The sequence below is a fragment of the Homo sapiens genome, chromosome 17 (assembly GCF_000001405.40).
Source record: "Homo sapiens chromosome 17, GRCh38.p14 Primary Assembly".
NCBI lineage: Eukaryota > Metazoa > Chordata > Mammalia > Primates > Hominidae > Homo > Homo sapiens.
The window spans coordinates 75,253,516-75,278,885 of NC_000017.11; the positions used below are offsets into that span (position 1 = coordinate 75,253,516).

Here is a 25,370-nt window from a genome sequence, read left to right on the forward strand (position 1 = left end):
GAGGGGCAAGTACCACAACCCCTTCTCTCCGTGTCTCTACCCCTTCTCTGCATTTCTGGGGGAGGGGCAAGTACCCCTCAACCCCTTCTCCTTCACCCTTAGCGGTAAGTCCCGCTTTTCTAGGGGGCAAGAACCCCCAATCCCTTATTTCCGCACCCCGACCTCTTATCTGTGTGCCCCAATCCCTTATTTCCACACCCTGACCCCTTTCCTGCTTTTCTGGAGGGTAAGAACCCTCGAACCCCTTCCCTCCGTGTCTCTACTCTCTCTTTTCTCTGGGCTTGCCTCCTTTACTATGGGCAACCTTCCAGCCTCCATTCCTCCTTCTCCCTTAGCCTGTGTTCTCAAGAACTTAAAACCTCGTCAACTCGCACCTGACCTAAAACCTAAATGCCTTATTTTCTTCTGCAACACCGCTTGGCCCCAGTACAAACTTGACAATGGCTCTAAATGGCCAGAAAACGGCACTTTCGATTTCTCCATCCTATAAGACCTAAATAATTTTTGTCAAAAAATGGGCAAATGGTCTGAGGTGCCTCACATCCAGGCATTTTTCACACTTCGTTCCCTCTCAAGTCTCTGTTCCCAATGCGATTCCTCCCAAATCCTCCTTCTTTCCCTCCCGCCTGTCCCCTCAGTCCCAACCCCAAGTGTCGCTGGGTCTTTCCAGTCTTTTCTACAGACCCATCTGACCTTTCCCCTTCTCCTCAGGCTGCTCGTCGCCAGGCCATCTAGGTCCCAATTCTTCCTCAGCCTCTGCTCCTCCACCCTAGAATCCTTTTATCACCTCCCCTCCTCACACCTGGTCCAGCTTACAGTTTCGTTCAGTGACTGGCCCTCCCCCACCTGCCCAGCAATTTACTCTTAAAAAGGTGGCTGGAGCTAAAGGCATAGTCAAGGTTAATGCTCCTTTTTCTTTATCCCAAATCAGAAGCGTTTAGGCTCTTTTTCATCAAATATAAAAATCCAGCCCAGTTCATGGCTCGTTCGGCAGCAACCCTGAGACGCTTTACAGCCCTAGACCCTAAGAGGTCAAAGGGCCGTCTTATTCTCAATATACGTTTTATTACCCAATCTGCTCCCGACATTAAATAAAACTCCAAAAATTAAATTCCGGCCCTCAAACCCCACAACAGGACTTAATTAACCTCGCCTTCAAGGTGTACAATAATAGAGTAGAGGCAGCCAAGTAACAACATATTTCTGAGTTGCAATTCCTTACCTCCACTGTGAGACAAACCCCAGCTACATCTCCAGCACACAAGAACTTCCAAACGCCTAAACCGCAGTGGCCAGGCATTCCTCCATAACTGCCTCCCCCAGGAGCTTGCTACAAGTGCCAGAAATCTGGCCACCGAGCCAAGGAATGCCCGCAGCCCGGGATTCCTCCTAAGCGAGTCCCATCTGTGTGGGACCCCACTGAAAATTGGACTGTTCAACTCACCTGACAGCCACTCCCAGAGCCCCTGGAACTCTGGCCCAAGGCTCTCTGACTCCTTCCCAGATCTTCTCGGCTTAACGGCTGAAGACTGACGCTGCCCGATCGCCTCGGAAGCCCCATAGACCATCACAGATGCCGAGCTTTAGGTAACTCTCACAGTGGAGAGTAAGTCCGTCCTCTTCTTAATCAATACGGAGGCTACCCACTCCACATTACCTTCTTTTCAAGGGCCTGTTTCCCTTGCCTCCATAACTGTTGTGGGTATTGACAGCCAGGCTTCTAAACCTCTTAAAACTCCCCAACTCTGGTGCCAACTTAGACAATACTCTTTTAAGCACTCGTTTTTAGTTATCCCCACCTGCCCAGTTCCCTTATTAGGCCGAGACACTTTAACTAAATTATCTGCTTCCCTGACTATTCCTGGGTTACAGCTACATCTCATTGCTGCCCTTTCCAATCCAAAGCCTCCTTTGCGTCCTCCTCTTGTATTCCCCCCCACCTTAACCCACAAGTATAAGATACCTCTACTCCCTCCTTGGCGACCGATCATGCACCCCTTACCATCTCATTAAAACCTAATCACCCTTACCCCGCTCAATGCCAATATCCCATCCCACAGTATGCTTTGAAAGGAGTAAAGCCTGTTATCACATGCCTGCTACAGCATGGCCTTTTAAAGCCTATAAACTCTCCTTACAATTCCCCCATTTTACCTGTCCTAAAACCAGACAAGCCTTACAAGTTAGTTCAGGATCTATGCCTTATCAACCAAATTGTTTTGCCTATCCACCCCATGGTACCAAACCATATACTCTCCTATCCTCAATACCTCCCTCCACAATCCATTATTCTGTTCTGGATCTCAAACATGCTTTCTTTACAATTCCTTTGCACCCGTCATCCCAGCCTCTCTTTGCTTTCACTTGGACTGACCCTGACATCCATTAGGCTCAGCAAATTACCTGGGCTGTACTGCTGCAAGGCTTCACAGACAGCCCCCATTACTTCAGTCAAGCCCAAATTTCATCCTCATCTGTTACCTATCTCGGCATAATTCTCATGAAAACACACGTGCTCTCCCTGCTGATCGTGTCCGATTAATCTCCCAAACCTCAATCCCTTACAAAACAACAACTCCTTTCCTTCCTAGGCATGGTTAGTGTGTCAGAATTCTTACACAAGAGCCAGGACCGCACCCTGTAGTCTTTCTGCCCAAACAACTTGACCTTACTGTTTTAGCCTAGCCCTCATGTCTGCTTGCAGTGGCTGCCGCTGCTTTAATACTTTTAGAGGCCCTAAAAATAACAAACTATGCTCAACTCACTCTCTACATTTCTCATAACTTCCAATATTATTTTCTTCCTCATACCTGATGCATATACTTTCTGCTCCCCGGCTCCTTCAGCTGTACTCACTCTTTGTTAAGTCCCACAATTACCACTGTTCCTGGCCCGGACCTCAATCTGGCCTCCCACATTATTCCTGATACCACACCTGACCCCCATGACTGTATCTCTCTGATCCACCTGACATTCACCCCATTTCCCCATATTTCCTTCTTTCCTGTTCCTCACCCTGATCACGCTTGATTTATTGATGGCAGTTCCAGCAGGCCTAATCGCCACACAGCAGCAAAGGCAGGCTATGCTATAGTACAAGCCACTAGCCCGCCTCTTAGAACCTCATTTCCTTTCCATTGTGGAAATCTATCCTCAAGGAAATAACTTCTCAGTGTTCCATCTGCTATTCTACTACTCCTCAGGGATTATTCAGGCCCCCTCCCTTCCCTACACATCAAGCTTGAAGATTTGCCCCCACCCAGGACTGGCAAATTAGCTTTACTCAACATGCCCCGAGTCAGATAACTAAAATACCTCTTAGTCTAAGTAGACACTTTCACTAGGTAAGTAGAGGCCTTTCCTACAGGGTCTGAGAAGGCCACCGCAGTCATTTCTTCCCTTCGGTCAGACACAATTCCTCAGTTTAGCCTTCCCACCTCTATACAGTCTAACAGACCAGCCCTTATTAGTCAAATCAGCCAAGCAGTTTCTCAGGCTCTTAGTATTCAGTGAAACCTTTATATCCCTTACGGTCCTCCGTCTTCAAGAAAAGCAGAACGGACTAAAGGTCTTTTAAAAACACTTCACCAAGCTCAGCCACCAACTTAAAAAGGACTGGACAATACTTTTACCACTTTCCCTTCTCAGAAGTCAGACCTGTCCTCAGAATGCTACAAGGTACAGCCCATTTAAGCTCCTGTATAGATGCTCCTTTTTATTAGGCCCCAGTCTCATTCCAGACACCAGACCAACTTAGACTGTGCCCCCCCCCCCAAAAAAAACCTGTCATCATCCCTACTATCTTCTGTCTAGTCATACTCCTATTCAACGTTCTCAACTACTCATACATGCCCTGCTCTTGTTTACACTGCTGGTTTACACTGTTTCTCCAAGCCATCACAGGTGATATCTCCTCGTGCTATCCCCAAACTGCCACTCTTAACTCTTGAAGTAAATAAATAATCTTTGCTGGCAGGACTATGCTGAATCTCCTTAGGCACTCTCTAATCAGATGTCCTAGGTCCTCCCAATTCTTAGACCTTTTATACCTGTTTTTCTCCTTCTCTTATTCCACTTAGTTTTTCAATTCATACAAAACCATATCCAGGCCATCACCAATCATTCTATACGACAAATGTTTCTTCTAACATCCCCACAAGATCTCCCTTCGGCTTAATCTCTCCCACTCTAGGTTCCCACGCCGCCCCTAATCCCACTTGAAGCAGCCCTGAGAAACATCGCCCATTCTCTCTCCATACCACCCCACAAAAATTTTCGCTGCCCCAACACTTCAACACTATTTTGTTTTATTTTTCTTATTAATATAAGAAGGCAGGAATGTCAGGCCTGAGCCCAAGCCAAGCCATCGCATCCCCTATGACTTGCACGTACACATCCAGATGGCCTGACGTAACTGAAGATCCACAAAAGAAGTAAAAATAGCCTTAACTGATGACATTCCACCATTGTGATTTGTTTCTGCCCCACCCTAACTGATCAATGTACTTTGTAATCTCCCCCACCCTTAAGAAGGTTCTTCGTAATTCTCCCCACCCTTGAGAATGTACTTTGTGAGATCCATCCCTGCCCGCAAAACATTGCTCTTAACTTCACCGCCTATCCCAAAACCTGTAAGAACTAATGATAATCCACCACCCTTTGCTGACTCTCTTTTCGGACTCAGCCTGCCTGCATCCAGGTGAAATAAACAGCCATGTTGCTCACACAAAGCCTGTTTGGTAGTCTCTTCACACGGACGCGCATGAAACCTATATCAAATCAAGCCTCTTAAGACACCAAAACACCGATTTCACCTAGTACAGAAGGAATGAGGGCCTGATAACTGCAGAAATTTAAACTTCTTCGGCTGGGCTGGGCGTGGTAGCTCAAGCCTGTAATCCCAACACTTTGGAGGGAGCTGAGGCAGGTGGCTCACTTGAGGTCAAGAGTTTGACAACAGCCTGGCCAACATGGTGAAACCCCATCTCTACTAAAAATACAAAAATGAGCCAGGTGTAGTGGCACATACCAGTAGTCCCAGCTACTTGGGAGGCTGAGGATGGAGAATTGCTTGCACCTAAGCAACGGAAGTTGCAGTGAGCCGAGATTGTGCCACTGCATTCCAGCCTGGGTGACAGTGCAAGACTCTGTCTCAAATAAATAAATAAATAAAATAAACTTCTTGGGCTGGAAATTGGAGACTTGGTAGAATCTGGTCTTAACTTCCCAGCCTTATCTTCCCTCATTCCCAAACACCTCTGTTACTGTGTGCCCCAAACAGGTTTGCTCTCTCCACATCACCATCTAGTGTTTTTTTTTTTCCAACTTTTCCCATTATTTAATGGCTAGCTCAAATGGAGTATCCTCAATGAATCATCTCTTCCCCCATCCCCAGTTCCCTAAAGAGAATGCCGGCGTTTTAGCACTGCCTTGTATCTTTTTTTTTTTTTTTTTTGGAGACGGAGTCTCGCTCTGTCACCGAGGCTGGAGTGCAGTGGCACAATCCCAGCTCACTGCAAGCTCCACCTCTCGGGTTCACACCATTCTCCTGCCTCAGCCTCCCGTGTAGCTGGGACTACAGGCGCCCGCCACTACGCCTGGCTATTTTTTTGTATTTTTTAGTAGAGACGGGGTTTCACTGTGTTAGCCAGGATGGTCTCGATCTCCTGACCTCGTGATCCACCCGCCTCGGCCTCCCAACGTGCTGGGATTACAGGAGAGTTCTTCATCCACTCCAGCATCACCTCCATCCAACTAAAGGCAAAATCTTCTTAAACTTCCTAACTCCTATAACACCCCACGTAGCAGGTACTCATTAAACATTGATTGATTGATCATGGTGGGACTTGAAAGAAGACTGAAGTCATCAAGAGATGGTTTGTGAGAAAAGAGAATCTGAGATGGGTTTTCAAGCATTTAGTTGAGGAAACGGGAGCAGGGCTTCCAGGTAAGGAGAGCAACGTGTATTGGTAAACCAAGAACATCAGACTGAGTAGAGCAGGAAAACGTAGAAGCCACAGAGAAAAAGGCCTGGAACAACCAAGGCCAGATTACAGGCAACAGTGGAATGATTTGATTCAACACAAGTGCGCTTCTGGGAGCAGAATGGACTGAGGAGAGGTGAGGACGGGAGAGACCTGGGTCTCTGGGCCAAGCAGAGGCTTCTGCAACAATTCAGGCAAACGTGGGGTGACAAGGACGCTGACTGAGACGATGCTGAACCCCAACTGCTGGTTTGTTCAACTGGTACAGTTCACATTAAGTCGTAACAACTGTGAAGCTTATGTCTCTACAGATACCATGTGACTCCCCCCCACCAAGTGTGTCCCTCTCATTTCATAATGTGACTCTAGGCTGGGTGCGGTAGCTCACGTGTGTAATCCCAGCGCTTTGTAAGGGAAAGGTGGGAGGATCACTTGAACTCGAGTTTGAGACCATCCTGGGCAACACAGCAAGACCTCATCTCTACTAAAAATCAAAAGAATTAGCCAAGCATGGTGGCGTGTGCCTATAGTCCCAGCTACTCAGGAGGCTGAGGTAGAAGACTTATTTGAGCACAGGGGTTCAAGGCTGCAGTGAGCTATGATCGCACCCCTGCACTCCAGCCTAGACAACAGCGCGCGAGACTCTGTCTCAAAAACAAGTAACAAAAACAAAATGTAACTCTAAATGTAGCCTATTAAACTCAGCTTAGGTCATTTAAATTATTCAATACCCATATTAATACCTTCAAAGCAAACTAATTCCACTCTGGTTATAGCAAGTTGGGCATTTCTGGGCAAGTGGTTTGACTGGAGTCAGGATGTCCTCTTTTTGTGAAATTATGGCAGTAGTGCCTGCTTTGCTAGAATACTTGGTAAACTAATTTAATGAATATCTGTAAAGTACTTTGAGCTCCTTGGAGAACACTTCCATATATAAAGAAGCCTTATGACCTGCCTGCAACTGCAGATTTTGCAAACGTGATCTTACTTTTTCTCTCTTTTGGGATATGCTCCCCTTTAAACTGAAGCTCAACCTCCTGAAGGGGGTTTCTTACTAGGAAAAATCAGACAATTTGAGGAAATAGCTATCACCTCCAAGATCCCGGAAGCAGTACTAAATAAGAGACCTCAGAACAAGGCAATACTAGGTATCTCACCTATCCCATTACCAGTCCAATTTCTCTCTCCACTTAAAGGAGGCTTCCAGGTCTAGCCTACAGGAAAGTTCACTTATTAACCCTCAGGCAGAGTACTACCTGCTAACCAGGTTAACACACATTTCCTTCGTAGCACTGTAATTCACAGTGCAATGACAGCAATACGCTTCTATAACTACAGCTTCAGACTGTGCTCCTCAGCCTTACTCAGAATAGGCTATCAACACTGACTCGTTAGGATATTCAAGGGGGTATATGTATGTGTGTGGGGGGGGAATTCCCGACACCGATTTCACCATGCTTCTGTGGTCACTGCAGGAAAAAGGTAGAGCTCTCTGTTCTCTATCATCGCTCTCTTTGGAATATTATTCTCACTTCAAGCATTCTGCCTGAGCGAAGCCGTCACTTCTCCAACACATGGTCACAATTCTGAAGCTGCCAGGCGACTGAACGCAGTCGGCAGCACCCACCACTACCGGAGACTCAGCCCCAATCCGAAGCTTCTCCCTTAGTCAGGGATTGGGGCGCTGGGTTCCTGGTGTCACCGCCGGGCGGCGACCCCACCACAATCTCCCCAAAGCGCCGAAGCATGTCAGCCCGAAGATCTTGGCTGTCGCCTTTCCCCGAGCCTGCGGTGCCCGACAGGAGCCCGAGTTCACGCCGCCGCGCGCCAGAGCAAGAGGACGCGCCGCAGCGAGGGAAGCGGGGGCCGGACTGGGGCCCGGCGCCCTGATAGGGAAGGGGCGTGATCGCAGGCTGCTCGCGGCGAGGGCGAGACCGGGCGTGGGCTGCCAAGAGGCGACGCCGTGGAGCCCGGGGAGGGGACGTGGGGGTGAAGACAGGGGCAGCCCAGCGGCTCGAGGGCAGGCAGAAACGGCCGCGGCTACTCACTGAGCCAGGACTCCAGGCTTTCCCCTTCCGCCTCCGCCATATTGCAGCCGCCCGGCCCCGCGGCTTCAAAACTCGCGAGAGTCTGCACGAGCTGAGACGGGGCGGGGCCTGCATGGGGTCCTGAGAGGAGTGAGTGCCGTCACCGAGGGCCGCGCCAGACTGCGACGGATACAGGGAGGGCAAGGGTTTCCTTTTGGCGCTCCCCTTTGGACCCCGGAGTGAAAAACTCTAACGTCCAGATCAGTGGAGAGAAACGCAGATTTAGGACCCTGAGGAGTCTTTTTCACCCGTTTCCCGTCACTCGCTCAGGCGCGCCGAGGGCAGTCCTTGTGGGGTCCTCGTGGCCAGCCAAGATGGCTGCCCCCGCAGTGAAGGTTGCCCGAGGATGGTCGGGCCTGGCGTTGGGCGTGCGGCGGGCTGTCTTGCAGCTTCCAGGGTGAGAGGGTGGCGAGCAGCGGCGGGGGGGCGCTGCGAGGAAGGAAGGGGGCCACAGGCAGGCCGCGTGGGCCCCTAGAGAGAGCATTGCCCTGGGGGCCGGAGTATCTGGATTCAAGCTTCTAAGTTAGCTGCGTGACCCTGCGCCAATCCGAAGGTTTAGTGACTACCTCTCGCCTAAGGAGTCTGGCTGATCTAGGGTTCTAACGCGGAGCTGAAAGTGCGGTTCAGCTAAAGAGCTCAGATCTGGGATCGCCTGTGAATTGGGATGGGTGTGTAGGCGCCAAGCCCATCCTTACCGTTAGCACTTGACCAGGAGGAGACTTTACCCGCCTGCTTGGGGAATGTCCTCCTACTTGGGACAAGGGCCTGAATTGTTGTGGCTCAGGTTTAGCTCGCGGTCTCCGCGCCGCTCCCCCTCGTCGGCGCGTTGGCAGTCATGCCTATTGTTAAGTCAAACCTACTCGCTTGTGGAGTCAGCTTTTGCCTGCCTCCTCCTTTCCCCCCCTCCCAGGCTAACTCAGGTGAGATGGAGCCGCTATAGTCCTGAATTCAAGGATCCCTTGATTGACAAGGAATATTATCGCAAGCCAGTGGAGGAGCTAACTGAGGAGGAGAAATATGTTCGGGAGCTCAAGAAGACTCAGCTCATCAAAGCTGCTCCAGCAGGGAAAACAAGTTCTGTGTTTGAAGACCCAGTCATCAGGTTAGATGGAAACAAACACTTGTTACATGGACTGGGACTATCCCAGGGAGGGTTTCTGGTGAGGATTCTGTGATACAGCCTTGGAGAGCTAAACGTGTTGCTTTTCTCTTTGAAGTAAATTCACCAACATGATGATGATAGGAGGAAACAAAGTACTGGCCAGATCCCTCATGATTCAGGTAAACAGCACTTCCCTCCTCAGTCATCTTTCTTGCCCCCCTACCCCGTAGCCTTGTACTTGGTACTTTCAGTGTAGCTTAAGAGCAAATGGATTCATGTATCTATTATTCAGATTAACTTCCCTGCATGTGTACGGGCTTTAATGAAGCCCTGTAAGAGTCAGCAACTGCCATTCCTTGGTGTTTCGGAAGTAAACACACAATTAAAAAAAAAGGAACAAATAAAAAATAAAACAACTGCCATTCCCCACCTCACCCCCCACCCCCTCCATGCCACAAATCTCAATCCACTCTTTCTGTCCTAGTCTAGCAAAGGGGGAGGCACTTAAAAACTTTGTTTTGGATGTGCTGTGAGAGGAGCTGCATTGCCAGCGCAGAACCAGAGGATGGGAGTAAAGGGCAAGGTACTAGCTTGGCTGGGTAAACCCTTTAGGGAGCCTGGGGCAGCCTCTTCCACCATATTCTTTTGCAGACTCTGGAAGCTGTGAAAAGGAAGCAGTTTGAGAAGTACCATGCCGCTTCTGCAGAGGAACAGGCAACCATCGAACGCAACCCCTACACCATCTTCCATCAAGCACTGAAAAACTGTGAGCCTATGATTGGGCTGGTACCCATCCTCAAGGGAGGCCGTTTCTACCAGGTGAATGAATGGCCAGGGCAAGAAAGCAGGGCCCTCCACATGTGAAACAAGATAGGTGGTGCTTGGGAGTTGGGTCAAGATTGATAGCTTTCTAGCTGGTGCAGTGGGATTGCACCTGTAATCTCAGCACTTTGGGAGCCTAATGCAGGATAGCTTGAGCTCAGGAGTTAAGAGACAGCAGGGCAACATAGGGAGATCCCGTCTCTACAAAAAAAACAAAAAAATTAGCCAGGTGTGGTGGTGTGCATCTGTGCTCCCAACTACTCAGGAGGCTGAGGTAGGAGGATCACTTGAGTCCAGGAGGTCAAGGCTGCAGTGAGTTATGATTACGCCCCTGCATTCCAGCCTGGGCAAGAGAGAGAAACCTTGTCTCAGAAAAAAAAAAAAAAAAAACGGCTGGGCACGGTGGCTCACACCTGTAATCCCAGCACTTTGGGAGGCCGAGGTGGATGGATTACCTGAGGTGGGGAGTTCGAGATCAACAAGGAGAAACCCTGTTTCTACTAACAATACAAAATTAGCCAGGTGTGGTGGCACATACCAGTAGTCCCAGCTACTTGGGAGGCTGAAGCAGGAGAATCGCTTGAACCCAGGATGCAGAGGTTGCAGTGAGCCGAGAGCACACCACCGCACTCCAGCCTGGCAACAGAGCAAGACGCCATCTCAAAAAAAAAAAAAAAAAAAGAATTGAGACTGTTACGGTCCACTCATCTGAGTCCTGTAGCGTAAAAATTATAGGCAGAAGGTGGAAGAGAGTGAAGAAGTATCTAAGTGACATCTGGGAGCCCACCTCCCTTCGCCTTCTTCTGTCAAGCATCCTGTGTGTCCTAACCTGTAAAATTCTCATGGCGAGGGACTATTCATATCCTGTCTTTGTATGCCAGTGTTTGGCATAGTGCTTGACCGATAACTGATGCTTCATCAGTGTTTGCTGAACAGTACTAGGTATCTCTTTCATAGCATTTAATTATATTTTATTGTCCTGAGTTTTCTTGTGTTCTCCTTTTTCAATATCAACTCCATGGGGTAGGGACTTCATTATTGTCTGCACTCTCGTGTCTGGCATGGTACTGACGCATAGTGAGGGCCTGACAAATGATTTTTGGACACGGGGTCTTGTTTTTGGTTTTCTTTAACTGTTTGTATAGGGTCTTTTTGTTTTTAACTTTTTTTTTTTTTTTTGAGATGGAGTTTCGCTTTTGTTGCCCAGACTGGAGTGCAGTGCTGTAATCTCAGCTCTCGGCTCACTGCAGCCTCCGCCTCCCGGGTTCAAGAGATTCTCCTGTCTCAGTCCCTGCCCACCCCAAGTAGCTGGGATTACAGGTGGCCGCCACCATGCCCAGCTAATTTTTTTGTATTTTTAGTAGAGACAGGGTTTTGCTGTGTCTGAAGACTGAAGGGGTCTTGTTTTTAGGTACCTATGGTCTGAGGTGGATTAGTCACCCCAGCTAATGGGGCTTTTCCTATTTGGTTCTTATAACAACTTGGTAGGACTACCATTTAGGAGGGAAAATGGCCAGTGCTTTTCTTCTTTTTCTTTTTCTTTTTTTTTGAGACGAAGTCTCGCTCTGTTGCCCAGGCTGGAGTGCAGTGGTGCATTCTTGGCTCACTGCAACCTCCGTCTCCTGGGTTCAAGCATTTCTACCTCAGCCTCCCAAGTAGCTGGGATTACAGGCGCCTGCCACCACGCCCAGCTAATTTTTGCATTTTAGTAGAGACGAGGTTTCACCACATTGGCCAGGCTGGTGTCGAAATCCTGACCTCAGGTAATCCACCTGCCTCAGCCTCCCAAAGTGCTGGAATTACAGGCGTGAACCATCGTGCCTGGCCTTCTTTTTTTTTTAATATATGGAGACAGGGTCTTGTTATATTGACGAGGCTGGTCTTGAACTCCTGGGCTCAAGCGATCCTCCTGCCTCAGCCTCCCAAAGTGCTGGGATTACAGGTGTGAACCACAGTGCCGGGAGAGGCCAGTGCTTAATTAGTATTTGCTGAATGAACGCCTCTTATGTCTGCTACACTGGGGTCACCTGAAGGTGAGGGAAGCTCGAAGAAAAGACAGGCCCTTCTCCCCAGGCCTGACCAGGGCTGGTCCAGAGGGAACATGTGGCTACTCCTTAGAATTCAGGGAGGCAGGAGGCCCCAAACCCTGGCAGACTCTTGGACCAACTTGCCTATGTCCTGTCTCACCCAGGTCCCTGTACCCCTACCCGACCGGCGTCGCCGCTTCCTAGCCATGAAGTGGATGATCACTGAGTGCCGGGATAAAAAGCACCAGCGGACACTGATGCCGGAGAAGCTGTCACACAAGCTGCTGGAGGCTTTCCATAACCAGGGCCCCGTGATCAAGAGGAAGCATGACTTGCACAAGATGGCAGAGGCCAACCGTGCCCTGGCCCACTACCGCTGGTGGTAGAGTCTCCAGGAGGAGCCCAGGGCCCTCTGCCGCAAGAAACAGTGTGAGCTACTGCCACGCTGAAAACTACCTGTGGGTTAAGGATGTAGTTCCTTTGTAAGGGTGGGCAGGCCTCGTAAGAAAGATGTAGCAGCATATTCACTATCCGTTAATCCTTCTTTCTTTGAGGCTGGAACTTGCTCTCTCTGCCCCTATTTCCTTGTAAAGAGGGAGCACATTGACTTGGGAATTTCCTCCAGGAAACTCAGGGCTGTTTTCTCTTCCCTTAGGTTGGGGCGGACCTTTGGATATATAAAGGAAGCAGTTTTAGTATCAGAAAAGATTTATTAGAAAATTCTCACGCTGAACTGGTGTAGCATGTGGTGCAGCATTCAGTGAAACTGGCTGGAGGAAATAGGCTTGTTTCCAGAGTTGTCCTTATACAAAATGTATAAAAAGCAGTTTCTGGTGTGACTTGTGCTCTGCCTCCACCCCTTGACATCCCAAAATATCCCACCAGTGGCTATGCTTACCCATTTTACAGATGGGTAAACTGAGGCACCAAGGTAGTAGTTGCACTAATGGTTACACAGTGCAGTGGCTCTTGGGAGTTGCCCTTCTCTGCCTGGCCGTGGTGGGTTGTGGTGGGGAAAGGGGCTCAGGGCAGGACCACGGCATAAGTGGGAAACATCTCACCAGGAGATGGGAAAGTCTAGAAGGGAAGACACTCAAAGTCTGGAAGGGAAAAGTCTTTGGGTGAGGCAGAGACTCCACTGCCAGCTTTAGAGGTGGGTAGAAGAAAGGCCAGTGCTGGTGAGGAAGCCCTGATCTGGAGGCCTAGTCGGAGACTTCGCTGTAGTAATACTTGTGGGCAGCTGGCGTTGTCTTCCAGCCGGCCGCCCGGAACTCAATGATCTCCAGCAGCAGCAGCTGGGCCAGGGAGCTGAGGCCAGTTGGGAGCAGGAAGCCATCCCGGATCAGCACAAAGAGCTCATCCATGCGCTGCCCATTCATTTTCTCCAGCTGCTCCCCAACCCGGTGCAGCTGCAGCACCAAACAGTCCACCTGCAGGCGACAGTGTGGGTAACACAAGTGAACTGGGGCAGTGCCAGCCTCTCACACAGCATTTGCCAAGTGCCAGGTGCTGTGCTTTGCCTTTACACTCATTCCCTTGCTCCCTCCTTACCATCCAGTGGGTACTTCCACATCTTACACAGAAAGAAATGAGTTCCGGGACTTGCCTGAGGTCCCTCATCTGGCCAGGCTCCACTCAAGCCTGTCTCCAAACCACTTCTTCATCCCACTCTCCTGCCTCCCACACACTGCCTGACCCTGGTTTGGCTTTGGGGCCGTCTGTACCCACAGCTAGCCATGGCTTGCACAGCTGCCATCATACGTTGGCTTTCTGACTGAGAAGGAAGCTACTGAGCCAGTAGGTTTTGGCTGCTCTCTATTGGATAAACTCCAGACCTGGCAGCTTGTCCTATAACTGACAGGCCTTAAACACCCCCACAGTCCTGCCCCAGAAGTGACACAGTCCTCAGAGACCTCCGTGAGCAGTGGGCTGACACACGGCTGAGCTGGACTGTCCATCCTGCAGCCTTCTGTGCTTGTGCCAGGGCTGGGGCCACCCACCTCCTCCTCCTTGCTCAAACTGTCTGGCTGGGCCAGCCGGAAGAGGCAGTCATAGACAGGGTTCACCAGGGCCATCATGGGCATGTTGTTCACCTGTGAGGAAGAGGAGGGGTCAGAGCACCAGGCTTAGTGGCCAAGGGGAGCAGTCCAACCTGGGCCTCAGGAAACAGGCCATGTCTGCCTCCCAGGGTGGCTGCCGGGGCCTCACCCTCAGGTAGTCAAAGATGTTGCAGATAAAGGTGACATAGCAGACCCAGCCCTGCAGGGAGCGTGCTCGCAGCTGCTCCCGAGCCTGGTACTCCTGCTGCAGCCGGTTGAGGAGTCCACGTCGGAAGACACTCTGGCCTGCTTGTTTACTCTCTGCCTGTGAGCCAGGGAGAGGAAGGTGAAGGGTGGGGGGCGGTGCCCCTGTAACCCCACCCATCCTATGCCTCTCTCTCTCTTTGAGCTAGACCCTGTGCATCTCTGTCCTGCAGGCCAGGCCTTCTGCCCACTCCTGAAGCACCTTCCTCAAAGCAGCTTCCTTTCCTCTCCCAACCCCCAACCTGAATGATGGCGTAGCACATGCGTCCTGCTTCCTTGCTGAACACACAGTCCTGCAGAGAATGGTCCACAATCACATTGGCCACTTTCTCCAAGTCCACAGCACCCGGATCTAGGGGTAGAGATAGGAGGGGAGTCTAGAGCTGCTGCTTTATCACATTTGTGTCCACCCGCTTCTAAGAATTTGAGATATTTACAGTAGAGCACTCATATGCTTGAAGTGAAAGAGATCAGAAATCATACAGAGGACAGTGGCTCCAGTGGTGCAATTGGTTAGCGCATGGTACTTATAAGAAATCATGGCCGGGCGCAGTGGCTCATGCCTGTAATCCCAACGCTTTGGGAGACCGAGGTGGTTGGATCACCTGGGGTCAGGAGTTTGAGACCAGCCTGGCTAACATGGTGAAACCCCATCTCTACCAAAAATACAAAAATTAGCCAGGTGTGGTGGCTCGTGCGTCATCTCATGTCATCCAAGCTACTTGGGAGGCTAGGGCAGGAGAATCGCTTGGACCTGGGAGGCGGAGGTTGCAGTGAGCCGAGATCATGCTATTGCACTCCAGCCTGGGCGACAAAGCAAGACTCCGTCTCAAAAAAAAAAAAAAAAAGAAAAAAATAAAAGAAATCATACAGAGGGCCTGGTGTGGTGGCTCATGCCTGTAATCCCAGCACTTTGAGAGGCTGAGGCGGGTGGATCACCTGAGGTCAGGATCAGGAGGTCAAGACCAGCCTGGCCAACATGATGAAACCCCGTCTCTACAAAAATACAAAAAATAAGCTGGGCACGGTGGCGGGCCCCTGTAACCCCAGCTACTTGGGAGGCTGAGGCAGGAAAATTGCTTGAACCTGGGAGGCGGAGGTTGCAGTGAGCCAAGATCGTGCCATTGCACTCCAGCTTGGGCAAGAAGAGCGAAACTGTCTCAAAAAAAAAAAAGGGAAAAGAAACCGTACAGAGGACAGTAACCATACAAACAGCTTTAGCTGTCTTGTCTTCTGGTTGCCCAGTCAGAGAAAATGGGGAGGGTTATGTGGCTAGTAGGGACCAATCAAAGTAAGAATGTAGTTTCTCAGGAAACACATCTTTTCCTGGCACTAGGTTGAGGAAGGAATACTGACCAGGACATGCCTCCAACAGCAATTTCACAAGAAAAAGTGTTCTTATACTACACACATGCAAACCCCCAACAAGAGAGGGCCACATAGGGCCTCCCAACAGGCTCGGCTTGACACATGATGGGTGTTGCTAATTATTAGTTGAAGACAAACCTCTGTACTGCGTGTTACAGCGGGAAGGCATCAGGCGAGAGCAATTACTATAGCTCCTCTGGCAAACGGAATATTCTCCATCTTCTGTCTCAAAGCAGGCAACTGTGCATTCAAGAGACGGGGCTATGGCAGCACAGAAACCAGCAATTCAAATGTAAGCGCTTCAAGGGCAGGAGCCGTGTTCTTTTTTTTATGGTTAAACTTTTTTTTTTTTTTTTTTTTTTTTTTTTTTGAGACAGGGTCTCGCTCTGTAGCCAGGCTGGAGTGCAGTGGCAGGATCATGGCTCATGGCACCCTCACCCTCCCAGGCTCAATCAATCCTCCCACCTCAGCATCTTAAGTAGCTGGGACCACAGGTGCCTGCCACTATGCCCGGCTAATTTTTCTTTTCTTTCTTTTTTTTTTTTTTTTTGTAGAGATGGGGTTTACACCATGTTTCCGGGACTGGTCTTGAACTCCTGGACTCAAGCAATCTGCCCACCTTGGCTTTCCAAAGTGCTGGAACTACAGACATGAGCCACTGCGCCTAGCCCTATGGTTAAACTTTTAAAACAGTCTTTACAGTCTGAGAGGTGACTGTGATTCATACTCCAAAATAATGGCCTCAATGTAGCTTGTCTTCCAGTTCAAGAATTACGTTGCCGACTCCTATCGTCAGAGAATGAGGGGAGGGGTGGAGGCATTCACCAGGCTCAGCCTCTGGTGCTGCCCACAGGGGCCCTTCTCTGTAGCTCCTGACCCCAGCTCAGGAGGGGTCCCGTGCTCACCTTTGAGTGCTGTCTTCAGCAGCTGCTGGGTCTCTGCATCAAAGGACTGGATTTTATACTCCTCTCTACTGGGCTCCCCCATGACTAGCCAGCCCCGGTAGCTCTTGACTGGGCTGGGAATAAGGACAGCACCTGAGGAGAAGAGGCGAAGGGAGCGGCCTCAGGTGTGGAGCGCAGGGCGGGTTCCGTCCTGCAGGCCCTGGACGGGGCTGACGGCGCGCTCGGGACAGGGACTCCTGGGCGGTCCGTGGCGTGCGGTGGTTGGCTGAAGGCCCACCAGGCTTGGCTTCTGGTGGGGACTGGGCATCAGCCAGGCACCTGCTGCTCAGTTTAGAAATCCCTCGCTTGTGGGATTACACAAGAGCGAGAAGCTGAAGCAGGAAAGCGCCCACCCTCCAGTCCCAGCAGGAGGCAGGAGTAGACTGGGGCAGGGTGTGTGCGGGCGGACGTTACAGTTGCTTAAATAAACCGGCCTGACGTTGCTGGCCCAGGAAGATGCCGGGTGAGGGCCAGGCTGGGAACTCCAAGCGGTGCGACTCTGTCCCCAGCAGGTCTCCGAGCCCCTCTCCCCAACCCTCTCTTTCTGGCTTTCGCCGAGTCCTTCGGTCTCAACACCCGCCGCTGCATCCCCCGGATGGGGCCGGCCTGCGTGGGTGGGGACGCAGGCGCCCTGTCCGCCGCCCCTGCCGGGAGCAGCCTGAACTCCCCAGACCCGTGCCAGCTTCTCCCTGGGACAGGCTGGTCGGATCGGCTCCCGAGTGGCAGTAACCCGGCCCTACGCACTCGAGACTCCTAATTCCTGAGCTCCATTCTGGAGCCTTCCTCTTACTGGGGGGCAGGATGATGCGCCCCGGAGAGGTGGCTCCCGCCGGAGGCTCCCCTCTGGCCGTAGGAGGCGCCTTTAGGGTCTCCAGCCCTCGGCCGTTCCCCCCGCGCCCGGAACGCCCCTCCCGGAGGCACAGGGCGGGCTGCGGAGCCCACGGCCCAGGGTCCCGCGGGCGGGAGAGGCGGCGTGGGAGCCGGGACCCACCTGCCGGGCCGGTGGCGCGCGCGCGTGCCCGGGGCCGCTCGGCGCCTGGGAGCGCGCAACCAGCGTCCGGCGCTGCGGGGCCCGCCGTGAGCTCATCTCCTCGCGCGGCGCCGGGGAAGGGTCGGCTCGCCCGCGCCACCTGCCGGGCCCCCGGGGCACTGCCCTGGCCTCCAGGCCGCCCCGGAAGCCGCGCCGCCTGCGTGGGACCCTGCGACGCTGCCACCCAGCCGCAAGCGGAACTCGCTTGGCTCGTCACCCCTTCACCCGGTGCGCCTGGGCCGTGTCCGGGCCCACGCCGGACCCGCCGGCACCTCGATCTTGCGCGTGGCCCCGCACCCAGCCCTCCCCGGAGCTCAGGTGCACTGGGCCGGGAGACACCGCTGGGCTGCGCGGCGTGGGAAGAGCCTGCAGAGCGCGTGGTGGGGACCTGGTGGCAGGAGGAACAGCATCAGCCCTGGTCGCACCACTTTCCCCGCTCCCCCAACCCAGGTAGAGAAGGCAGGGGCTGCAGGGCCGGGGCCAGCCACAACCCTCTCCCGCTCCAAGGAGGACATGGGCGAAGCGAGTTTCAGGTCATAGGGGCAGCCCCGAGAAAGGGGCCCCATTGGCAACTCGCGGCCGTCGGTTGTTGCGAATGCCCCTGAAGTGGCGCGGACCCCACCGCCCGGCGTCTGCCCTGGGTGACAGGAGGGCACCTAGAAGTGGGGGAAGAACTGCCGCCGCTCCTGCCGCGCGACCGGGAGGAGCGCTGCCGGCGCTGCCCGCGTTCTCGCCTCCTTTTAAAAGAACCGCCAAAGTGGTCACCGAAAACGGAGGAGGAAGAGAACGCTCAGCTGCAGCAAAAGAAACCAATGGGCAGGAAAGATGAAGAGAAGAAACTTTAACGGAATTTCATAAAAAATGCATTCAGGCAGCTGCATCCTCGTGGCCCCCGCCGCAGCCTGGACCTTGGGAACCAGCAGCCCAGAGCCAGGAAGCCCCAGCATTCAGGGCCCAGACAGACCCCAAAATCCCAGACCAGAGGCAGGGAAGGATGGTGCGAGGAGGAGCCCAGGACCCACACGCCAGGGCCAGGGCCAGCGCCGGCTCCCAGTGGGTGCCTCTTTCCAAGGCTGGAGAGGGAGGCAGAATGGAGGGCTTCCCAGGTCGGAGCAACCCTACAGGCCGGGCAGATGGAGGGAAGGGTGGAGGTCATGTTCTGGAGACCTCCCCTCAGCCTGGAACTGGTTTCTCCTCTGCCTCTCCGCCTGTGGGTGTCCCTCTGCTCTGGTAACACCCCAGGCACCAGCTGTGCCCTCACCAGGCTACGTGCCCGCCCCTTCCTTCTGCCATCCCCATCAGTGGGCTGCTTCAGAGCCACGGCCCTTCTGGGGCTACAGGGGAGGATGCACCCGCAGCATGCTCTGCACTGAGGAGCAGGCAGTGGGCGCTGATGCCACCTGTCCTGCTGATAGCTCCTCACCCAGCAAGGCTGACCCAGCTCTGGGTGAAAGAGGAGTCAGTGAGGTAGACTGGGGAGAGGCTGCACCTTCACCCACGCCTGCCCACAGCATGGCCCATCCACTTCCTGCACGGGCGCTGGGATCTGCTTTCCATGGAGCCCCACGGCCATGACCAGCCCGGTCCTGGGAGAGGACAGCCTGGGTGGTGGTGTGTCTGCAGACACGAAGGTCTGGGCACGGGGCCCAGAAAGTGACTGGCTCAGCCTGGAGTCTCCCCCAGCACTAGAAGCAGAGCTGCCAAGGGCTGCCGCTATGGAGAACATGGGATTTGAGGAAGGCAGGAGTCCTTTCCCTCATACTTTGTGAGTAGGCAGATGTGCCAGGGGAGATGGAGTAAGATAAGGAATGTGTGTTTAGCTTTAATGTCTATTAAATAGGTTGGAAAAACAGGCCAAGTGTAGGGACCTGACTCCTGCAAAGGGCCTACCGCAGCCCTCTGCACTCAAGCAGCAGCCCCATCCAGACCAGGAGTGTGTTCTGTTCTCCTGGCAGGCAGGGCTGATAGGTGTAGGATGGCGTCTGTTTCCTTTGGAGTGTGGGCTGGTCAGAGGAGAAACAGCAACTTCCTGCTCCTTCTCACTGTGTCGTTGGCTCACCATAGACCACGTCCTGCATTCCCTCTGATTCTCTCATGGGGAGAGCCCTGGACCTTCTGGTGGTGTCCCAGCTGGGTGGGTTCAAGGCTGCTACCCCGCTTGGGGCAGCTGGCCTGCAGGGAAGGGCCAGACGGCACCTCTCAGTGGAGACTGAATCTTCCTTCCTTCAGGAGGCTGCCTCCAGGGAAGACCTGGGGTCCTTCCTGCACTCAGCGCTGGCTGGCTGTCCTGTTCATGCAGTGGAAGACATTACAGAAGAATTCATACGAGAAGAACATGAAGCCTGTGGAGAGGGCAGCCTTCAGCAAGCTGGGGGACAGGCCCTTGAAGAAGCCCAGGGCGCCTTCCTTTTGCAGCACCTGCTTGGCACAGTCCATGAGGCCCTTGTATCTCCGTACCTGGGGAGAGGAAAGGGATGAAAATATGGATGCCCGCTCTGCTCCCATCAACACAGCCCCTGGCACATCACAGATCTTAAGAAGTACTTGCTGGACAAAGAAATGAATGCAAAATAGCAAATTATTTTATTTTTTCGTTGAGGCAGAGTCTCACTCTGTTGCCCAGGCTGGAATGCAGTGGCACAATCTTGGCTCACTGCAGCCTCTGCCTCCCAGGTTCAAGTGATTCTCCTGCCTCAGCCTCCTGAGTAGCTGGGATTACAGGCACACAACACCACGCCTGGCTAATTTTTTGTATTTTTAGTAGAGATGCAGTTTCGCCATGTTGGCCAGGCTGGTCTTGAACTCCTGACCTCAGGTGATCCACCTGCTTCAGCCTCCCAATGTGCTGGGATTACAGGCATGGACAACCATGCCCAGCTCAAAATAGCAAATAAATTAATTTCATTCTTTCTACTGTAATTGGGTTAAGACTGAACAGATGACAGGCCTAGAAATCAGAAGCTGGACAGCGCTCCTTCCTGCCCAGGAAGAACGGCTGCCTGTGGCTCCAAAGGATCCAGCAATGGCTCCAGAACCTCTTCCCAGAGGCATCTCTGACCCTTCATCCCATCCCACCTGATCCCCCTTGGGCAGCAGATCTGAACCTGGCCCTCAGTAGCTCTCAGCCGGGCCTCCCTGCCTCCAGCCTCACCCTCTCCAGCTGACCTCACACACTGCTGCCAGACATTCATCCCCAGGCACAACCCTCCTCAAGCCTGGCTTCCCTCCAAAAGCTGCAGTAACTCCTAGTGACGACATCATGAGAAATCAAGTCCAAACCCCAAGATCTGCCGTTTAAGGCACTGCACCATTTGGCCTTGATTTCCCTCCCTGATCTGACCTCCACTGGTCCTCCCACGTGCCCTTCCCACCTCTGGCCAAACTGGATTACACTAGTCTTTGTTAGCAGTAAGGCCTCCCTCTGCCATCCTGGGCTCTCACCATCGGCTCCCTGTCCAAATTCAAACTGTCCCTTCATGCTGGGTGCAGTGGTGCATGCCTGCAGTCCCAGCTACTTGGGAGGCTGAGAGGGGAGGATCGCTTGAGCCCAGGAGTTCGAGACCAGCCCAGGCAACAGAGCGATATCCCATTTAAAAAAAGAAAGAAAGAAAAGAAAACAAACTCTCCCTTCAGGACAAGTTGGTAAGTGGAAAAGGGAGGTTACAAACCTTGTATACAGTGTATCCGTATTTTTGTTAAAATGTACATGTGTATTTATGAAAAGAAATAAAACTACACTGAAAGGTTCCATGTGGTTATCTGTGGTAGTGAAATTACAAGGGATTTTGGTCTTTTTTTTTTTTTTTTTTTTTTTTTTTTTTTTTGAGACAGAGTCTCACTCTGTCGCCCAAGATGGTGTGCAGTAGTGTGATCATAGCTCACTGCAGCCTCGAACTCCTGGGCTTAAGCAATTCTCCTGCCTCAGCCTCTCTAGTAGCTGGAACTACAGGCACACACCACCATGCCCAGCTAATTTTTTAATTTTTATTTTGTAGAGACGGGGTCTTGCTATGTTGACCAGGCTGGTTTCAAGCTCCTGGCCTCAACTGATTTTCCCATTTTGGCCTCCCAAAGTGCTGGGATCACAGGCGTGATCCACTGCAGCTGGCTTGGTCTTTCTTTCATCTATCTTAAATTTTCTAAAGTTTCCTACAAAGAAAATGCATTATAACTATAAACCCAGCTCTTTCTCTTCCCCCAAGGAAGGAATGCTCTCTCCCTACCTTGCCTCCCATTCCATGCCATCCCTCTCCTCTGACATTGTCAGGCATATTTTTTCACACCTCCGCATCTCAGGTTCCCAGGATACAGAGGGGAAAGGCCTGGAATTGCCCATCCTTAGCCTACCCCTAACCCTACCCACTGACCAAAAGAAAGGGAGTATGTAAAAATCTGAGCAACTGAGGAGTGACTACTGAGACTACAACATGACTTAGCACGGGGCTTCTCTTAATGGCCAACTCTCCTAGTGCACATAAAATACAACTTAGGCCCAGGTGTGGCGGCTCATGCCTGTAATCCCAGCACTTTGAGAGGCTGAGGCGGACGGATCAACTGAGGTCAGGAGTTCAAGACCACCTTGGCCAATGTGGTGAAACCCTGTCTCATATGGTGAAACCCCGTCTCTTCTAAAAATACAAAAATTAGGACATGGTGGCGGGCGCCTGTAATCCCAGCTGCTTGGAGGCCAAGGCAGGAGAATCGCTTGAACCAGGGAGGCGCAGGCTGCAGTGAGCCAAGATCACGCCACTGCACTCCAGCCTGGGCAAAAGAGCGAGACTCCGTCTCAAAAAATATATATATATATATGGCTGGGCACAGTGGCTCATGCCTGTAATCCCAGCACTTTGGGAGGCCGAGGCAGGTGGATCACCTGAGGTCAGGAGTTCGAGACCAGCCTGGCCAACATGGTGAAACCCCGTCTCTACTAAAAATACAAAAAATTAGCTGGGCGTGGTGGCACGCGCTTGTAATCCCAGCTACTTGGGAGGCTGAGGCAGGAGAATTGCTTGAACCCGGGAGGCAGAGGTTGCAGTGAGCCGAGATCGTGCCATTGCACTCCAGGCTGGGCAACAAGAGCAAAACTCCGTTTCAAAACAAAAACAAAAACAAAAAAATACATATATATATAACCTAGTTGCTCAAATTCACCCAATTCCAGAACAGCTACAGCAAAACCCCTTTTCTGTGTGCTTTAATATTTGGGGACCTTCCTTGCTCTGTTGCCCAGGCTGCAATGCAGTGGTGCAATCGTGGCTCCCTGTAACATCCACCTCTCACGTTCAAGCGATTCTCCTGTTTCAGCCTCCCGAGTAGCTGGGACTACAGGCGCCCACCACCATACCCAGCTAATTTTTATATTTTTAGTAGAAACGGGGTTTCACCATGTTGATCAGGCTGGTCTAGAACTCCTGACCTCAGGTGATCCACTCGTCTCGGCCTCCCAAAATGTTGGGATTACAGGAGTGAGCCACCACGTCCACGCCCAGCCTCTGGACATATTTTTTTTTGAGATGGAGTCTTGCTCTGTTGCCCAGGCTGGAGTGCAGTGGCGCAATCTCAGCTCACTGCAAACTCCACCTCCCGGGTTCACACCATTCTCCTGCCTCAGCCTCCCGAGTAGCTGGGACTACACGTGCCCACCACCACGCCCGGCTAATTTTTTTGTTTTTTTTTTTTTTTAGTAGAGATGGGCTTTCACCGTGTTATCCAGGATGGTCTCGATCTCCTGACCTCGTGATCCACCCACCTTGGCCTCCCAAAGTGCTGGGATTACAGGTGTGAGCCACCACGCCCGGCCAGGATATGTTTTAAGAGCAGAAATTGTGCTAGGTGCAGTGGCTCACACCTGTAATCCCAGCACTTTGGGAGGTGGAGTCAGGAGGGTTCAAGACCAGCCTGGGAAACAGAGTGAGACCCTGCCTCTATTTTAAAGAAAAAAAAAAAGAGCAGACACTGTATGTCCTTGGCCCAGATCCTTCCACAGTGCTCAGGACCCAGGGCTTGCATGCAGCTTTCCCACATGCTTAGGGATCTCAAGGAATGGACGCAGGTGAAGGGGCCATGGCCAGGGGTGATGTTGCCCAATGGGTAGGAGGTGACTACTGGTTCCCTCATGTGCCCAGTGATGGCAAGGGTCAGAGCTGTCTGCCTGGGAGTGAACGGCTCACCTGGCCAAAGGCAGCTCTGGCATGCTCAAACCCTCCAACCTGTAGCCGCTTCTTGAAGAGGTCCAGCGGATATGTCAGGGTCTTGCTGATGACACCAGCTCCACTGCCACAAAGCAGGTTTTGGAGGTTCTCTGAACCAGAGAAGTGGGATTGGGAGAATGGATGAGAGAAATGCAGTCTATGGGTGACAACTTAAAAGGCGTCAGGGCTAATCCTCCACCACAAACCAAACCCCACAAGCGCACTTCTATCTGACCTCCACTGGTCCTCCCATTCCAAAAAGGAATGTAATCTAGGGGGAGAAGAGCCAGACACGGCCACTTCTGGTGGAGTGATCCGGGCTGGAAGGGTTGGAGGCCGCAGTCCCCCAGCTGGAGGCAACATGGGCCTCAGGCTCTGCAGCATGACTCAGTTCAGGGCTGGAGAGGACCAGGATGCCCCACCCCTCCCCAGCCTCCCCCTGCCCCCATCTCCCACTCCCCCTGCCTGGAAAAAGCAACTGAAGAACCTCAACCAAAAAACAAGCAATTTGCAATTTGGACTTCTGACAAAAATGAAAACCATGACCAATCACTGGAAGTAAATTTCAGTAATGCCAGTGATGGGTGTGGCAGGAGCTGGAAGAAATCAAGTCCTCTCCAAGCAGCTGCAGTTGTTTTGTTTGCCACATTACAGAGCCAGGTACAGAGACCCGCGGTCTTTGATTCGGACAGGAGAACTTTAGCTCCTTTGTGATTTGGAAGGGGGTGTTCTGGTGGCTGGGGTGGGAGGGCTCCCTCTCGTGTGAGGGCTGCCTCACCATTTTTCTTTCCTTCGGCTGGTATGGCCCACTTGTACAGGTGCTTCAAGGAGCTGTAGCAAGAGAACTGCAGCCCGGCGTAGGGGAAGATGGCGATCAAGGTGGGAGCCAAGCCTTTGTAGAAAACCTGGGGGCCTTCGCTCCTATACATGGTCCCCACGGCGTGGCGCAGCGTATTATAGACCTGGACACACACACGCACTTTGAATGAGCTCAGTGAAGTGGTTTTAGCCCTGGAACAGCCCATCATAGCTCTGTCCCCTCGCCTAAAATACCAGCTACCAGGAGCGAAACTCCTCCTGCCAGGAAGACAGTCAAGGGAAACGCTGGACAGAGATTCGAAGGATGGCATTTTCCAGAAACTCCCCCTTCTACACATGTATACCACTGTTATATCCACAGGTGTGCACAAAAGTATGTGTCCAGGAGTCACTGCAGCGTCCTGGGGAAGAGCTAAAGACGCGATGTCCATCTGTGGGTGCTGGTTACGTGAATTATGGGACACCAGCTCACGAGAGAATAGTGCAGCTGTTAAAACAGGAAGGTGAGGCCAGGCGCGGTGGCTCACGCCTGTAATCCCAGCACTTTGGGGAGGCTGAGGCAGGCAGATCACTTGAGGCCAGGAGTTTGAGACCAGCCTGGCCAACATGGCGAAAGCCCATCTCTACTAAAAATACAAAAATTAGCTGGGGGTGGTGGCTCATGCCTGTAATCCCAGCTTCTTGGGAGGCTGA

At 52.2% G+C, this 25,370-nt stretch overlaps 4 protein-coding genes and 1 long non-coding RNA gene across 52 annotated transcripts in view, besides 8 other annotated features; 2 read left to right on the plus strand and 3 right to left on the minus strand.

Moving 5' to 3' along the window:
* The window catches only part of GGA3 (golgi associated, gamma adaptin ear containing, ARF binding protein 3), a 25,765-nt gene extending 16,917 nt beyond the window's left edge, over positions 1-8,848 (minus strand). For 4 of the 6 annotated variants that reach the window (NM_001291642.2, NM_014001.5, NM_138619.4 and 1 more), the window contains exon 1: positions 8,033-8,091. Coding sequence is in view for 2 of the 6 variants with exons in the window: in NM_014001.5 (NP_054720.1) it covers positions 8,033-8,072 (40 nt within the window). In the remaining 4 variants the exon portion in view is untranslated. Of the gene's footprint in view, positions 1-8,032; positions 8,092-8,766 lie in introns of those variants that run through there. The other 2 variants (NM_001172704.3, NM_001172703.3) reach the window with 1 other exon arrangement.
* Positions 7,497-7,596: an enhancer, noted in NCBI's record as "active region_12741". NCBI's record gives its function as "activates an Ori minimal core promoter by ATAC-STARR-seq in GM12878 lymphoblastoid cells {active_cell/tissue: GM12878}" and the evidence as "EXISTENCE:reporter gene assay evidence [ECO:0000049][PMID:35858748]".
* Positions 8,067-8,476: an enhancer, noted in NCBI's record as "active region_12742". NCBI's record gives its function as "activates an Ori minimal core promoter by ATAC-STARR-seq in GM12878 lymphoblastoid cells {active_cell/tissue: GM12878}" and the evidence as "EXISTENCE:reporter gene assay evidence [ECO:0000049][PMID:35858748]".
* Positions 8,067-9,150: a biological region, named in NCBI's record as "NANOG-H3K27ac-H3K4me1 hESC enhancer GRCh37_chr17:73257869-73258746".
* Positions 8,273-9,150: an enhancer, noted in NCBI's record as "NANOG-H3K27ac-H3K4me1 hESC enhancer chr17:73257869-73258746 (GRCh37/hg19 assembly coordinates)". NCBI's record gives its function as "activates a minimal SCP1, AML or CMV promoter by ChIP-STARR-seq in naive and primed H9 embryonic stem cells {active_cell/tissue: H9 hESC(naive and primed)}" and the evidence as "EXISTENCE:reporter gene assay evidence [ECO:0000049][PMID:30033119]".
* On the plus strand, positions 8,364-12,861 carry MRPS7 (mitochondrial ribosomal protein S7). Its single transcript, NM_015971.4, has 5 exons — positions 8,364-8,468; positions 8,982-9,173; positions 9,289-9,352; positions 9,825-9,992; positions 12,187-12,861. Exons 1-5 carry the CDS (start codon positions 8,386-8,388, stop codon positions 12,406-12,408), a joined length of 729 nt encoding a protein of 242 aa, NP_057055.2. The 5' UTR covers positions 8,364-8,385; the 3' UTR covers positions 12,409-12,861.
* MIF4GD (MIF4G domain containing) lies at positions 12,713-17,777 on the minus strand. Of its 32 annotated transcripts, none has more exons than NM_001242500.1 (7): positions 17,768-17,777; positions 16,599-16,730; positions 15,832-15,933; positions 14,568-14,677; positions 14,231-14,386; positions 14,023-14,115; positions 12,713-13,452 (listed from the first exon to the last, which is right to left on the minus strand). In NM_001242500.1, exons 2-7 carry the CDS (start codon positions 16,678-16,680, stop codon positions 13,225-13,227), a joined length of 771 nt encoding a protein of 256 aa, NP_001229429.1. In that variant the 5' UTR covers positions 16,681-16,730; positions 17,768-17,777; the 3' UTR covers positions 12,713-13,224. The 32 variants fall into 32 exon arrangements, with proteins under 32 accessions (NP_001229429.1, NP_065730.2, XP_047292404.1 ...); NM_020679.4 differs by lacking the exon at positions 17,768-17,777 and adding an exon at positions 17,629-17,716; XM_047436448.1 differs by lacking the exon at positions 17,768-17,777 and adding an exon at positions 17,629-17,716 and having other exon boundaries at positions 13,936-14,115.
* Positions 17,283-17,352: a silencer, noted in NCBI's record as "silent region_8960". NCBI's record gives its function as "represses an Ori minimal core promoter by ATAC-STARR-seq in GM12878 lymphoblastoid cells {active_cell/tissue: GM12878}" and the evidence as "EXISTENCE:reporter gene assay evidence [ECO:0000049][PMID:35858748]".
* Positions 17,463-18,122: a silencer, noted in NCBI's record as "silent region_8961". NCBI's record gives its function as "represses an Ori minimal core promoter by ATAC-STARR-seq in GM12878 lymphoblastoid cells {active_cell/tissue: GM12878}" and the evidence as "EXISTENCE:reporter gene assay evidence [ECO:0000049][PMID:35858748]".
* MIF4GD-DT (MIF4GD divergent transcript) lies at positions 17,784-20,380 on the plus strand. The gene has a single exon (NR_036520.1). It is a non-coding gene; the product is annotated as an MIF4GD divergent transcript (long non-coding RNA).
* Positions 18,631-19,418: an enhancer, noted in NCBI's record as "H3K4me1 hESC enhancer chr17:73268227-73269014 (GRCh37/hg19 assembly coordinates)". NCBI's record gives its function as "activates a minimal SCP1, AML or CMV promoter by ChIP-STARR-seq in naive H9 embryonic stem cells {active_cell/tissue: H9 hESC(naive)}" and the evidence as "EXISTENCE:reporter gene assay evidence [ECO:0000049][PMID:30033119]".
* Positions 19,093-19,142: a silencer, noted in NCBI's record as "silent region_8962". NCBI's record gives its function as "represses an Ori minimal core promoter by ATAC-STARR-seq in GM12878 lymphoblastoid cells {active_cell/tissue: GM12878}" and the evidence as "EXISTENCE:reporter gene assay evidence [ECO:0000049][PMID:35858748]".
* SLC25A19 (solute carrier family 25 member 19) overlaps positions 19,477-25,370 on the minus strand; it is a 16,442-nt gene continuing 10,548 nt past the window's right edge. For 10 of the 12 annotated variants that reach the window (NM_001126122.2, NM_021734.5, XM_047436512.1 and 7 more), the window contains 3 exons: positions 24,637-24,820; positions 23,838-23,968; positions 19,477-20,124 (listed from right to left, as the gene is read on the minus strand). In NM_001126122.2, the coding sequence (NP_001119594.1) occupies positions 19,936-20,124; positions 23,838-23,968; positions 24,637-24,820 (504 nt within the window). In that variant the 3' untranslated portion in view covers positions 19,477-19,935. The remainder of the gene's footprint in view (positions 20,125-23,837; positions 23,969-24,636; positions 24,821-25,370) is intronic. The other 2 variants (XM_047436514.1, XM_017024928.3) reach the window with 1 other exon arrangement.

What these genes read in the sequence shown, in the direction of transcription:
- MRPS7 (NM_015971.4), top strand. Translation starts at nt 8,386, where the DNA reads ATGGCTGCCCCCGCAGTGAAGGTTGCCCGAGGATGGTCGGGCCTGGCG. An exon ending in CCAGATCCCTCATGATTCAG is followed by an intron (nt 9,353 to 9,824) that starts GTAAACAGCACT and finishes ATTCTTTTGCAG; the next exon opens with ACTCTGGAAGCTGTGAAAAG. An exon ending in AGGGAGGCCGTTTCTACCAG is followed by an intron (nt 9,993 to 12,186) that starts GTGAATGAATGG and finishes TGTCTCACCCAG; the next exon opens with GTCCCTGTACCCCTACCCGA.
- MIF4GD (XM_047436444.1), bottom strand. Translation starts at nt 16,680, where the DNA reads ATGGGGGAGCCCAGTAGAGAGGAGTATAAAATCCAGTCCTTTGATGCA. An exon ending in CTGTAACACGCAGTACAGAG is followed by an intron (nt 14,678 to 15,831) that starts GTTTGTCTTCAA and finishes CTCTACCCCTAG; the next exon opens with ATCCGGGTGCTGTGGACTTG. An exon ending in TGTGCTACGCCATCATTCAG is followed by an intron (nt 14,387 to 14,567) that starts GTTGGGGGTTGG and finishes CCTGGCTCACAG; the next exon opens with GCAGAGAGTAAACAAGCAGG.